Source organism: Homo sapiens, chromosome 7, assembly GCF_000001405.40.
Source record: "Homo sapiens chromosome 7, GRCh38.p14 Primary Assembly".
In the NCBI taxonomy this organism is placed as follows: domain Eukaryota; kingdom Metazoa; phylum Chordata; class Mammalia; order Primates; family Hominidae; genus Homo; species Homo sapiens.
Window position 1 is genome coordinate 38,508,209 of NC_000007.14, and position 15,556 is coordinate 38,523,764.

General features: G+C 40.2%; 1 protein-coding gene across 8 annotated transcripts in view, besides 1 other annotated feature; it reads right to left on the reverse strand.

The window, feature by feature from the left end:
- The window catches only part of AMPH (amphiphysin), a 247,670-nt gene that overhangs the window by 124,505 nt on the left and 107,609 nt on the right, over positions 1–15,556 (reverse strand). The window lies entirely within an intron of this gene.
- Positions 1,266–1,435: an enhancer, noted in NCBI's record as "experimental_98607 CRE fragment used in MPRA reporter constructs". NCBI's record gives its function as "activates a minimal promoter by MPRAs in K562 erythroleukemia cells, with activity observed for the non-introgressed 7:38549159 variant allele {active_cell/tissue: K562}" and the evidence as "EXISTENCE:reporter gene assay evidence [ECO:0000049][PMID:34662402]".

Here is a 15,556-nt window from a genome sequence, read left to right on the forward strand (position 1 = left end):
TGTACTACCTACTACCATGTGCATGACACCCCGGGGCAGGGGTGTGCATCACTATGGCCCCAAATGCACAAGAAAAAACAAACCCTGTGGATTTTATTATTAAGGTTAAGCAGGTCTGGAAAATATCTCAAAGCAATAGGAGTTTAATACCTGTTAAATAGGCAATGGCCTGTTGAATTGGCTTGTTAATATATGGTCAGTGTAGCACTAACTTATGTTTATAAGTAACTTTTGTTATAAAAAGAAAAAGAAAGACAAGAGGAAGAAAATATCACACACGGTATGGAAAAATTTTTCATTAAGTTGCCTCTCCAACTCAGAAACTGTAAGCTGACATTTTGAAAAGGGCTCAGGTGGAAAGCCAGCAGTACTAACATCTGCATGAAAGGTGGATCTTAGGAGACATAACTTCATAAAGTTGCAATTTTACAAAGGTGAGTCCTGTCATCTCATCTGTGATCATAAGCCTATAGACATTCCCAGAGTTACATTATTATTTTTGGCCTTTGATGACATTTTTCTCTTGAAAATGGCTGAAGTAACATATCAAAATTAAAACTGGCTCAATTTCTCAGAGTTCAGACAGGTTAACTCAATCTTGAAAGCAATGATAATAAACTTGCTGATCATTTTTGAAGCTTAGAAGAAAATTAGATTATCAAGGAGATGAGATTTAATGAGGCCATAATCAGCACCTTGATTAACAGATGACTAATAACATAATATTTGAATCCACTTATGATCAAAGACATTAGGCCACTGAGCACTACAGGCACTCCTGGCTTACTAAGAAATAGAGCTCTCCCTATGAAAAGTTCAGGTGCTGTTAAATGGGAAGATGTAAAAGCGCCCAGGGTCTCTGAAATTTACATTTCTGTTTCCTTGCTTTGAGCTCTGTGCACTATTGGAGCTGTCTGTCATTAAGAACCCAGCACTGACTTCATAAAACAATTCCTCTTCTTTTATTTCTTTTTTTCACAGATATTAATGCAGAAGATACAAGATAAAGATGAAATAAGACTGGATATTTGCAGTCATATTCCTGGGATGATGAGGCAGGGAGTGCATGGAAGGAAGAGAAATGTCAAAGAGAACATCTCAGTTTCCACAGTTTTATCCAAGATTCGTGGCCCAATTTCCAACTATCCCTGTCACCAATTCCAGGAATATCTACGATCTGAAGACTGATGATCACATACTTTCTAGCTTCAACAAAACAAAGTTAGAAATCTAGCTAATAATCATATGTACAATCTCTCCATTTATTTCCCTTAAGCCAACTAACTTTTTTGAGTTTATACAGATCTCCATTCGGATCTTCTGGAAAAGCTAACCCATAGTGTGTTAAACCGCCATCAAATCATCACAGCATGCAGACTGGATACAGCTGGAAGATCTGCTTTATTGCCTTGAATTTGTGACCCTTGAAAAACCACTCAGTTGTTTTTCTCTCTGTGTGTGAGGAGACTTGACTTATAAGGTGCATCATGGGCATTATTTAAAATCTTTTCAGCCTTTACCTTAATAGCTAGAGCACAGTATTTAATATACTGGTAGGGGAGAAGCACGGAGAGCTGACCCAAAAATCAAGGGCGACTTTAAAGGAGCCCCACTTCCAGTAGCAACTCCTCCTGTGACTTGCTGTTCGGTGTCTCCTGCTGTGGGTATAGATGCTAGCTCTATCTATAACATTCTATCGTGACCAAATCAGACAGCACGTACAAGGACTAGAAAAACAACTGCTGTGTCAAGGCACAGAGATGCACTGATGGTAGAGAAGGAAGGGCCTTAGCTATCATTACTCCAGGCCTAATCAACAGCCAGAATGTTTCTGAAACTGCCATTTATGATGTCTGTATTAGTTTGCTTGGGCTGCCACAACACAAAACCACAGACCAAGTGGCTTTCTCACAGTTCTGGAGGCTGAAAGTCCAAGATCAAGGTGTTGGTAGGTGCAGTTTCCCCCCGTGGCCTCTCTCCTTGGCTTGCAGATGACCACCTTCTTGCTGTGTCCTCGTGTGGCTTTTTGTCTGTGTGCGTGCGTCCCTGTTGCCTCTCCCTCTTCTTATGAGGACACCAGTCCTGCTGGATTAAGGCTCACATATATGACCTCACTTAACCTTAATCACCTCCTTAATGGCCCTATGTCCCAAAACAGTCACATTCTGAGGTACTGGGGATTAGGAATTCAGCTAATGACTCTGAGGAGAACACAATTCAGTCCATGATGTAACAATGAAAGTTTTTGATCTGGCAAAATAATCACAAAGTCTAACACCTACTGAGTGGCCACTTTGATCCAGGCATGGTTCTAAGTTTCACAATTCTGGTAGCTCATACTCCTCACAATAATTGCATATGGTTGGCACATTATTATGAGAAAACAGAGGCACAGAGGCTGAGAACTTGCCCAAAGTCACACATCTAATAGGTGGTAAGCCAGAATTGGAATTCAGGCAGGCTGAGTTATTTTAGCCGTATGATCCGCCTCAAGAGCCCACCAGCTTGACCCCTGCTCTCCCACCTCTGTGCCCCAGGCTGTAAAGGATGATGAAGGATAAAGCTGCCCAACAAGAAGCAACTGTTGATAAATGAGGATAATGTAACCAAAGGCACCATTCTCCATGCTCTCAGGATACAGTCCTCATCTGTGAATAAAGATATCAATTGTTCACTAGTTTTTCTCAAAGTCCCATAATTCCATGGAGTTTATTCCATGTGATTCATATCACAGAGTGGTTAAGTCTACAGGCTCTGAGATCACACTTCCTGGCCTTAAAATCTGAGCTCTGCCACTTCTAACCATGCAACTTGGGGCAAGTTACTTAATCTCTCTAGGCCTCCGATTCCTCATCTATTAAATGAGGATGATAACAGTACCCACCACCTAGAGCTATCATGAAGGTTGAGGGAGACGAGTTACATAAAGTATCTGCTGAGTGCCTGGCACATATCATGCACTCAGGAAATGCTGGATAACACTATTATCACTCAACTAACACTTTGTAAATGATAAATTATGCAAAGGGTAGGTGTTTCATAAATGCTTGATTGACCGAAGTTCTGCTACATGTCATACTGCAAACGAATATCTTCATGAGGAAGATGCATGATGAAAAACCCTCCCAAAACAAGCTACTTGGGAATTTATAATGCTTCCTTGTTTTTTCATTTGTACTTTTAAGTATCAAAGACACAGTTATATTTTTCAGAAAGTTATTTTATAGCTTTGAATATTGCAGTAATAGAGGCTCCCAGAGTATACAAGAACAATTTATGCAGATGTAAAAGAACCAACTAACAATGGATATGAGAAAAATCAACGGAATATGATAAACTACTGCCTGAGGAAACAAGAAAGCATGAATACTAAAGGAAAAAAGAATAAGTTCATTTCCAAAATGAAAATTTTTATGACAGATACTCAGTTTTCTCACGTAAAACAGAATTGTAATTATGGATTGCCATGAGAATCAAGTAGATAATATACAAAACGCTTTCTAAATGTCAAAGTCCTTTGTAGAAAGTCTTCAATATAAAAATACTTTGTCACTGCTTTTGCCTAAGCCAGTCAAATAAGGCTTGGAAATTTGGAAATTGTTAAAGCCCCTTGGAAGATTCTTATAACTAATCAGGTTTGGGAACATATTCCAGCAGATATGCAATCAAAGAAGCCATTATCTTTATTATATGTGTGCAATCTCAGGCTTATATCCAAGTGGTTAACATCATAGAACGACTCTTTAGAGACACAAGTCAAATGTGTGACTTGACTCATAAGTCTGAAATAGGACCCAAGAATCTGTATTTTAAAAAGCCTCCAGGTGATGGTTATTGGGAAACTTTAATTTTTTTCACTGTGTCTGTCACTTAATGGACACTTAAGTGTGTATGTAGCTCTAGTATGAGATCCCTAAAAAGACACTTAAAAATATGTCTGGTTCCAGGTTTCAGTCAGTCACCATAAGACATTCCTTCTAGTGTATGTCCTTCCTTTAGATTGCTATGCCAATGGCAAAATCCATGTTGGGGCTTACAAGGTGACTTATAAGAGAGAATCACCATCAATGGGAACCAATAAAACTCATGCAAATCTGAAAACCAACTGCAGCTCATTTCTGCAGTTGTTCAAAACCATTTCCGATAGTCTCCCTGGGCTTGGATGAGAGATATGCCTCATTCTCTGCATCCCATTACCAGAATGGTACAGTCAACCTGGGAATCATTGAGACAGATGCATCCAAACTAAATAATGAGTTTAATTCACAAGGGGAAGTGGAAAATATATGGAATTAGTCTCTAAATAAATGCTGAGGAATGGGACTCTAAACCCTCCCTAGTTGGCATGGTTAATTAATATTGTAGGGTAAAATGCAACTAAAGCGGGTAACAGAATAGGACAGATAAAAGGAAACCATCAGAGAAATAACATGAAGAGCTTCCTCTAGGAGTGATTTCTTAAACTGGGGACAGGCTTCATAGGAAATGGCACAGTAATGTCTGTGACATCTGCAATTTGACTGGGTCAATTTTTAGTTCCGCTTAAATTAAGGCTTTTCATTTAGATAGGCCAGAACTGAAGAGATGCTCTTACTGATGAAATAAAATAAATAAGAATAAAGAGGTTAACAGATAAACAAGTTAAACAAATGTAACAAGTTTTTGTTTTCTTCCTCCTGTCTGGCACCATGGACAGCAACACCCTACAATTCCCATGAAGTAGGCAGACTTACTTGCCAGTGAGGAAAGAGGAGATTTATTGGATGTGATGGAAATGAAATAAATAGAAAGACTATAGATAAATGCAGAACAGTTTGAAAAGCAAGGGCCGTTACATTCTTTTGACACCTACAGGTTTCCACTATCTGCTCCCTCCCACAGAAGTCAATTTTATTGGCAATCATAGCCGTTTATACTTATATTTTAAAAACTTTAAATCAAGATTGTGTAATCAAAACACATATTTCCAATAAGAATAATATTACCAAGGAGAGTGGCAGTCTTAACTAAGAGCTCAGTGGCCACATTCTCTTGTTTTTTGCCATATAATGAATACAACTATATCTAAATTAAACTAAGAATCTCATAGCCAATCACACAACAATTTCATACTATTTAGCAAGCTATGTGAACAGCTTTACAGGGTGATGATTTTTGCAGAAACGAACAGGAGACACCCATTGAACCTGGGAAGTCTAGCTGAAAATGGGATTGTGGAAAGGTATAGAAATCATTTCTTCAAAGAATACCAATTGGGTTGAGAGAATACTCATGCACAAATGACAAGTGATGAAACTAGGATATCAAAATATATCATAATTATGGAAGTATAGTGACATCATCAAGAGATTCTGTATCTTTTCCCTACTACTTTAATTGCTTCAAAAGAAAGAAGACTTTTGTGCACTAGACCACAAGCTTGACCAAAACAGAAATTTTTCTCTAAATTGTTCATTTCTTTCAGTGCCTTGTACAATGCCTTGAGTCAATGAAGAATCCTTTTGATAAAGATTTGTGTATAGGGAATTTATTCTCTGTTACCTTAAAAAAAGTGTCCTGCTCCTAGCTCAAGTCAATTCCTCAGTTGTGTATTAGATACTTTCTCCTCCTGCCTACTCAAGGGAACAGATCAGCTGTTCTTCCCTTTGTCTGATGAATCACCACATTTTCATTCTGGTCTAAATGAGTCCCTTTCACATATTTCTGCCTTCTTAAGAAAATGTTCTTTTGACCCTCACTCCTTCTCCCAGCTATAGTCTTGGTCTTTGACCCCCCTTTGCTTCAAAAGGCAAAACTTGAAAATTGCTGCCTCCAGGCCTCTAAATACCATTCCCTTTGCTCTGCTTATTCTTGCCTTACTTGGTTTTCTTTCTATAGCTCTCATCATTTTCTAGCAGACAGTATAATCTACTTAGTAATTGTGCTCTATTTATTGTCTGCCTCCCTGTTTTGGAATGTAAGATCCACAATGGCAACGACCTTTGTCTGTCTTGTTCACTGAAGTTTCTGGAATAGCTAGATCAATTCCTGGCATGCAGAACACACTCAGTAAATCCATAGCAAATTCATGCCTCAATAGTTACCTGCTATTGTTTTAAATGGGCCTCCACATGATATCATCTATCAAATAACCTAAAAACTTCCTTAAAAGTTAATACTAAGATGAAACACTTTAAAATTTGGAAAATATTTACACAATAAGATGGTTTTCAACATTAAAGAACTCCTGCAGAAATTTACAGCTACAACTAAGAGTATATGCTATGGTTTCAATGTCCCTGCCAAAACTCATGTTGAAATTTAATTGCCGTTGTAACAGTGTTGAGAGGTAGGATTTTTATGAGGTGATTAGGCCATGATGGCTTCACCTTCATGAATGGATTAATGCCATTATCATGTGAGTGGCCTAGTTATCATGGGAGTGGGCTCCTGGTATTAAAGATGAGTTTGGCCTGACTTCTTTTCCGTTTTGTGTACTTGCTTTCACCTTCTGTCCTTCTGCCAATGTCTGAGCAGATGCTGATGCCACGCCCTTGGTCTTCATAGCCTCCAGACTGTGAGAAATAAATTTTTCTTTATAAATTACCTGGTCAGTGGTATTCTATTGTAGCAGCAGACTGAGACGGAAAATTTATACCAGAAAGTGGGGCTGTTGCTATAACAAATACCTGAAAATGCAGAAGAAGCTTTAGAATTGGGTAATGGATAGAGGATGGAAGAGTTTGGAGCAGGCTAAAAAGAGCATTTATGGCTGTGAACAGAGCATTAAGGGTGATTCTCGTGAGGGCTCAGAAGAGGAGAGCTATAGGAAAAACCTAAATCTCCTTAGAGATTACTTAGGTGGTTGTGACCAGAATCATAGTAAAAATATGGACAGTAAAGGCCATTCTGGTGATGTCTCAGACAAAAAAGAGGAACAAGGCATTGGAACCTGAAGAAAAGGGAATCCTTGTTATACAGTAACAAAGACCTTAGCTGAGTTGTGTCCATGCCCAGCGGACTTTATGGAATGTAGAAATTGAGGGTGATTGATATGGTGTGGATTTGTGTCCACACCCAAATCTCATGTTAAACAATAATCCCCAATGTTGGAGGAGGGACCTGTTGGGAGATGACTGGATCATGGGGGTGGACTTCCCCCTTGCTATTCTCATAATAGTGACTTCTCATGAGATCTGATTGTTTAAAAGTGTGTAGCACTTCCTCCTTCACTCTCTTCCTCCTGCTCCAGACAAGTAAGATATGCCTCCTTCCTTTTCACCCTCCACCATGATTGTAAGTTTCCAGAGGCCTCCCCATCCATGCTTCCTGTACAGACTGTGGAACTGTGAACCAATTTAACCTCTTTTCTTTATAAATTACCCAGTTTCAGGTAGTTCTTCATAGCAGTGAGAGAATGAAATAATATGAATAATTGGCACCAAGCAGTGGGGCATTGCTATAAAGATACCTGCAAATATGGAAGTAACTTTGGAACTGGGTATTGGGTAGAGGTTGGAAGAATGTGGAGGGCTCAGAAGAAGACAGAAAGATGAGGGAAAGTTTGGAACTTCCTAGAGACTCATTAAATTGTTGTAACCAAAATTCTGATAGTGATATAGTCAATGAAGTCCAGGCTGAGGAGGTCTCAGATGGAGATGAGGAACTTATTAGGAACTGGAGCAAAGGTCATTTGTGTAATTTGTTAGCAAAGAGATGGCAGGCATTGTGCCCCTGCCCTACAGAGATGATTTAAGGTATCTGGTGGAAGAAATTTCTAAGCAGCAAAATGTTCAAGATTTCACCTGGCTGCTTCTAGCAGCCTATGCTTATATTCATGAGCAAAGAAATGACCTGAAGCTAGAACTTATGTTTAAAAGGGAAGTAGACTGTAAAAGTTTGGAAAATTTGCAGCCTGGCCATGTGGTAGAAAAGAAAAACCCATTTTCTGGAGAAGAATTCAAGTTGGCTGCAGAAATTTGCATAAGTAAAAAGGAGCCAAGACAATGGGGAAAATGCCTTGAAGGCATTTTTTTTCAGAGACCTTCTTGGCAGCGCCTTCCATCACAGGCCCTGAGGCCTAGAAGGAAAGAATGGTTCTGTGGGCTGGCCCAGGGCCCTACTGCCCTGAGCAGCCTCGGGACACTGCTCCATGCATCCCAGCCACTCCAGCTCCAGTCATGGTTAAAAGGGCCCCAGAGAAGTCTCAGACCACTGCTCCAGAGGATGTAAGCTATAAGGCTTGATGACTTCCATACAGTGTTATGCCTGTAGGTATGCAGAGGGCAAGAGCTGAGGCATGGGAGCCTCTGCCTAGATTTCAGAGGATGTATGGAAACACCTGGTCCAGGCAGAATTTTGCTATAGGAGCAAAGCTCTCATGGAGAACCTCTACTAGGGCAGTGCCAAGAAGAAATATGGGATTGGACTCCTTACACAGATGCCCCACTGGGGAACTGCCTAGTGGAGCTGTGAGAAGAGGGCCACAGTCCTCCAGACCCCACAATGGCAGATCCACTGACAGCTTGTACCCTGCACCTGCAAAAGCTGCAGGCACTCAACACCAGCCGATGAAAGCAGTCTCAGGAACTGTGCCCTGCAGAGCCACAGAGGCAGAGCTGCCCAAGGCCTTGGGAGCCCACCCCTTGTGTCAGTGTCGCCTGAATATGAGACATGGGGTCAAGGGAGATTATTTTGGACCCTTCAGATTTAATGACTGCCTTGCTGGGTTTCAGACTTGCATGGGGCCCATAGCCCCTTTTTTTGATCAATTTATCCCTTTTGGAATGGATATATTTACCCAATGCCTGTATCTCTATTGTATCTTGGAAGTAATTAACTTGTTTTCTATTTTTACAGGCTCATAGGTGGAAGGGTCTTGCTTTGTCTCAGATAAGACTTTGAACTGTGGACTTTTGAGTTAATGCTGAAATGAGTTAAGACTTGGGGGACTGTTGAGAAGAAATTATTGTATTTTAAAATGTGAGAAGGACATGAGATTTGGGAGGCCAGAGAAGGAATGATATGGTTTGGATTAGTGTCCCCACTCAAATTTCATGTCAAATTGTAAACCCAAGTGTTGGAGGAGGAACCTGGTGGGAGGTGATTGGATCATGGGGGTGGACTTCCCCCTTGCCATTCTTGCCATTCTCATAATAGTGAGTGAGTTCTCATGAGATCTGGCTGTTTAAAAGTATAAAGCACTTCTCCCTTCACTCTCTTCCTCCTGCTTCAGCCATGTAAGCTGTACCTCCTTCCTCTTCACCTTCTGCCATAATTGTAAGTTTCCTGAGTGCCCCCCATCCATGCTTCCTGTTCAGCCTGAGGAATCATGAGCCAATTAAACCTCATTTCTTTATGATTACCCAGTCTCAGGTAGTTCTTTATAGCAGTGTGAGAGTGGACTAATACAGTGATGCACAAGGATATCTGGTGGAAGAAATATCTAAGCAGCAAAGCATTCAGGTTGCTGTGTGGTTACTTTCAACTACATATAGTGGAATGCTAGAGAAAAGAAATTACTTAAATATGCAATTTATAATTCAAAGGAAACAGAACAAAAAGATTTGAAAATTCACAGCCTGACTATGTAAAGAATAAAAAGCATGTCAGAGAGACAATGCTAAGGGTATAGCCACGTGATCCTTTGTTAAAGAGATTAATATGAACAAAAAGAAGCCAAGTGCTATTCATCAAGACAATGAAAGACCCCACAATCATTCTGAAAATTTTCTAGGCTGCCCCTCTCATCACAGTCTCAGCGCTCTAGAAGGGCTGAACAGTTTTGGGAGATAGGCCTGGGGCACCCTCCACCCTCCACAGGCTCACTGCCCAGGACAACCAAGGGACTCTGCTCCCCACTTCTCAGTGCAGCACTCTTTGCCCAGCCCAGCTGTGGCTCAAGTGGCCCCAAGAGCAGCTCAACCCACTGCTCCACATGTTACAAATGGTAAGCCTTAGTAGTGTCCACATGGTGATAATTCTACAGGTGCACAGAATGGAAGAACTTTGAGGAAATGGCTTCTTCCTCCCATAATATTTCAAAGGATTTCATAAAAAGCTTGGAACTCAGGCAGAAACTTGCCACAGAAGCAGAGGTGTCACAGAATCTCTACTAGGGCAATGTATAGTGGAGCCCTGGGGTCAGGGCTGCCAGTGAAAACATAGAACTTGTAGGGCCACCAGCATGGAACTCCAACCCATTAAAGCTGGGTGAACTGAGCCTAGCAAAGTCACGGGGGCAGGACTTCCTGAGGCCATGGGGGCCCAACCCCAGCCACAGTGTATCCGGTAAATGGGATATAGAGTCAAGGGTGATTATTCTCCAGCTTTAACGTTTAATGTTTTCTCTGTTGGGTTTTGGGCTTACCTGGGACCAGTTATCTCTTTCTTCTTGTCTATTTATCCCCTTTAGAATGGGAATGTCTGTCCTACGCCTGTCCCACCATTGTATTTTATAAGTAGATAACTTGTTTTGATTTCACAGGCTCACAGCTGAAAGGAATTAGCCTCAGGATGAATCATGCATTCAGTCTCATCCACATATGATTTATACAGGACTCTGGACTTTGAACTTTTGAATTGATGTTGGAATAAGTTAAGACTTCTGGGGCTGTTGGGATGGAATAAATGTATTTTGAATTGTGAGAAGGACATGAGTTTTGAGGGACCAGGAAGGAATTCTATGGTTTGAACATCCCTGCCAAAACTCATCTTGAAATTTAATTACCATTGCAACAGTGTTGAGAGGCAGGATCTTTAAGAGATGATTAGGTCATGCGGGTTTCACGCTCATAAATGGATTAATGCCATTATCATGGCAGCGAGCTAGTTATCATGGGAGTGGGCTTCTGATAAAAAGGATAAGTTCAACCCAATTTCCTCTGTGTCACGTTAACTTGCTTCTACTTTCCACCCATCTGCCATGGGATGGTCTTCATCAGATGGCAGAGCCAATGCTGGCACCACATCCTTGGACTTCCCAGCCTCCAGAACTGTGAGAAATGAATTTCCTTTCTTTATAAATTACCCACTCTGTGGTATTCTGCTACAGCAGCAAAAAACAGACTAAGACAGCATCTCTAGGTAAACTTTATTTCCAGCGATGCAGACATGCACCAATTCACTTATAGAATACTGCGCAATTATTGAGTTTAAAGATTAATGGAAATCCAGTATGAATTCAGGCAACAAAACTCATAATTACAAAAGAAGTTTCTCATACCAATTAATTGATATCAATTAAATATATTAAGGCTCTCTGGTAAAAATATTATCCCATAAGAGAATAGTCTTACTCCAAAACCCAGTATATTAAAAATATTTTAAAATTGTACAAATTGAAGAACATAACTTGGACTTAAAGACAAGAAAAACATTCTTAGGCATAATTAAAATTATTTATTTTATTGTTTGTAAATGCATGTAAAATTCTTAGAAGACTGAAACAACTGTGTCCACAGATACCTATGGGCATCATGGAACTAGGGCAGCTTTTGAACCAGGAGTGACCAAAACTTTGCTCTAGTCTCTGTAGTCCAGGTTAGGATCAAGCCCAGGCCATGTCAGGCATTCTCCAATGGATAAAAGAGGTATAGTAAATGACAATATAAAAAGAGGGGTGTTGACAAATGCACTCACATGTTCATTGCAGTACTATTGACAACAGCAGATTTATGAAATTAACCTAGGTACCTATCAGTTGTGGATTAAATAAATAAAATGTGGTACATATACACCACAGAATACTATGCAGCCATAAAAGGAATAAAATTGTGCCCATGAACCCTCTGAATCTAAGAAGTTGAAAAATAAATAAATAAATAAAAATCAAAAAAATAAAAAATCATCTTGGCTATTATAACTCCTTTGCCTTTCTCTCTCTCTCTGTCTCTCCCCGTATGTGTGTATGTATATATATGTATATGCATATAATCTTAGAATCAGTTTAACTATATCTATAAAACATTCTGTTGGAATTATGATTTATATGGCCTAAATTCTATTAGACATCAACTTATCAAAAAAAATGTATTCATCTGGGAAACAAACCATCTACATTCCAGGAATAAACTCTCCCTAGTCATAGTATATTATCCTCTTAATATAGTGATGACTTCAATCTTCAAAGTTTCATTTATAAATGTTTTGCATGTATAGTCATAAATAAAGTTTACATAGAGTTTTTAAAAAGAGGGCTTTGATATTAAACGAGTGAGGCACATAATATGCAAAGCAAAGGGTAAATACAGAGAATAAGTGTGACAAGCAGGCAAGTCAAAACTGGGATGTACTTATTAGGCACCTAGCAAGTACTAGAAGCCATTGAAGGTTTGTAAAAATGACTAAACGTTGAGTCTTCCTTTAAATATTTTACAATTGAATGAGAACATAGATACACAGCTAAATTACTATCATGTAAGAAAACTAGATAACAAATAACGTACTACTGAAGTAAACAGAGGAAAAGAGACTCCTGACTGAGGGGATGGGGAAAATACCACTAGAATATTCCTTGTGAGTTGACCTTAAAGAAGATGGGACTTGAACATAAGGAGATGGCAGATCCGGGAAGGAAGGGCAGTCAAATCATATGGAAGTAGCTGCAGTGAGGGAAGTGGAAAAGAGTTTGAAAGCCAGCAATTCAGTCCCAAAATTACACTATCAGACATAGACCACCAACTATTCACTGCACCAACTTCCTTTCTGCCTTTAATTACATCAGAGCATCTTAATTCAAATCAGCCTCCTTAACGGGATCCCTAAAGAGAAAAGCCATTTACTTGGCTGATAAGCAGTTGAGCTCTGCCAAAAACTAAAAGGGGAAGTGTGATCAAATCCTTAGGGATGGCCAAAGAAAGATTTAGTACTATGAATGTGAGAGAAAGCCCAAAGCAAACTCTAGGTACAAATAATTTGTGTCCTATAGAGTGGGCACTGAACAAGTAGAATTTGCTCCAAGTCATGTAAATATATATTCTTAAGAGGGTATCTTAAGGAAACTACCCCAGACAAGAGGTCAGAGATTTTTCTGTGTAAAAATGTATGTGTGGGCCGGGTGTGGTGGCTCACACCGGTAATCCTAGCACTTTGGGAGGCCAAGGCAGGTCGAATCAGTTAAGGTCAGAGGTTCGAGACCAGCCTGGCCAACATGGCAAAACCTGTCTCTACCAAAAACACAAAAATTAGTCAGGCGTGGTGGCAGGCACCTGTAATCCCACCTACTCAAGAGGCTGAGGCAGGAGAATCGCTTGAACCCGGCGGGCAGAGGTTGCAGTGAACAGAGATAGCGCCACTTCACTCCAGCCTGGGTGACAGAGCAAGACTCTGTCTCAAAACAAACAAACAAAAAAGTATATGTGGAGCCAGATACATTTTTTAACAAATGAAAAAAGGTAGAGAGATTTTTGGAAAAGTGCAGATTGAGTAGAACATACCCCTCCATGCATCATCTCTTTTTTTTTAATACTTCATTAAAGGAAAGGAAATATTATCATCCACCCCATTCCTATGTTGCTTTCTTGATCTACAGAATTTTCATTCTCTGTTGGAGGGATTCCCATCCCCTCAGTCAGGAGTCTCTCTTCCTCTGTATACTTCAGTAGTACATTCTTTATTATCCAGTTTTCTTACATGATAGTAATTTAGCTGTGTATCTATGTATCTGAGACCAGGACATTCAGTAGGCGCTTCCCATGTACACTCTTTGCTGAAATGTCACCAGACATTGAAAATTCTACTGAGATTTCCCTCAGTGGAACAGGGGTAATTAAGGCCAAATCTACCACCCTGTGAAATGTATTACTACAGCTATCATAGGAAACTCCTGATGAGGTAGAGTAACACTGGTTACAATGAGCTGCTTGGGATCTGTGGGGTCACTGCATGAGGTGGAGAAAAAAGAGACCTCAAGCAAGGATCTTGTACTTCCAAAAACCAAGAACCACATTTTAATTCTTTTAGAGTAAATGCAACCAAACCATACATTTTATATTGATAACTGCCATCCTATTAAAGCCTAAAAAGCAAACTGCTCGCTAAGTTAATATGGCCATATATTAACTGTTACCTTTTCCTCGGGGCATTAATAATGCTTATCCTTTAGTACACTTATATGTGTAATAATGTTTGTATGTTTAGTATTGTTATAGCCCATGGGTCAAATTTGTTCTATTGACATTGATTTATTTTACAGACTCCATTATGAAATTGAATTAGGTGCCAGTATTTTAAACAAGCGGGATACTTCCTGTGATGCACAGGCAGAGTGAGTGAGTATAGCGGGGAGACTCTCAGAAGGCATGGTGCAAGGAGTGAGGGCAGAGAGAATGCAGCAGGCATACCATCAGCAAGTGGGAACTCAGCTACGGTGCTAAGCGGGCAGAGATTCTTGGTCAGCAGGCCTCCAGAGGGGAGAGAAGGGGAAAGTGTAGGTGGGTATGAATCAGCCTACAGCTAGAGAGCTAGAGAGCAGGGGACCCTGGACTGGTGCAGCACAGGAGACAAAGAGATGGCCCACATGGTCAGGAGGCTGGTTACATAAGGGAGACTGCACAAATAAATATACGTATATTGAAGATAATGAAAGCAGGTTTCTCACTCTCAAAGAGGGAAGTACAAATCTAGAAAGGGGGAAGGCCCAGCCAGGCGTGGTGGCTCACGCCTGTAATCCAGCATTTTGGGAGGCTGAGACAGGCAGATCACAAGGTTAGGAGTTCGAGACCAGCCTGGCCAACATAGTGAAACCCCCATCTTTACTAAAAATACAAAAATTAGCCGGGCGTAGTGGTGGGCGCCTGTAATCCCAGCTACTCGGGAGGCTGAGGCAGGAGAATCGCTTGAAACCAGAAGGCAGAGGTTGCAGTGAGTGGCGATCGCACCTCTGCACTCCAGCCTGGGCAACAAGAGTGAAACTCTGTCTAAAAAAAAAAAAAAAGAAGGTGGGGGAGAGCCCAAATAAAGCAGGAGACACTGAACTGCAGTTGGAAGGGTCACGGTTTCAGATAGATAGATAATATAGATGTCTGTGTGTATAAATACTTGTATATACACGTGTTGTGTGTGTGTATACACACATATATATCCTGTCCACTTAGAAGGCCTAGAAGTATGATACCCTAGAAACAAAGAATATACCTAGAACCCAGATCTTGGTTTCTAAATCCCAGTCTCCACCAAAAGAAACCAGGATTTCTTGGAAAAATAACTGATTCCAAGCTATTTTGGCAAGGGAAAGCACAACAAGATCCTGAAACATATTGTACCAAAAAGGTAAAAATGTTGTCAGAGAATGATGCAGGTCTGTCAAAAGGACAAAGGAGTCAACTCCTAGGAGCTTCCACTGGCTAAATTTGGAGGAACTGCACTCCAAAATGACGAATAGTAATGTATTATAACCCAGTGAATAACATAGGAATCCATAAGTACATGCTGATATAATTAATTAATTAAGAAAGAAAAATTTTTACCAGGAGTGAGGGCAGAGATAACAACATTTTGCGAAATGATTGTACAATGTCACAATACTCAAAAATTTTACCACTGAGTAGAATGCTAATTAATAAGTTTAGAAGGAATT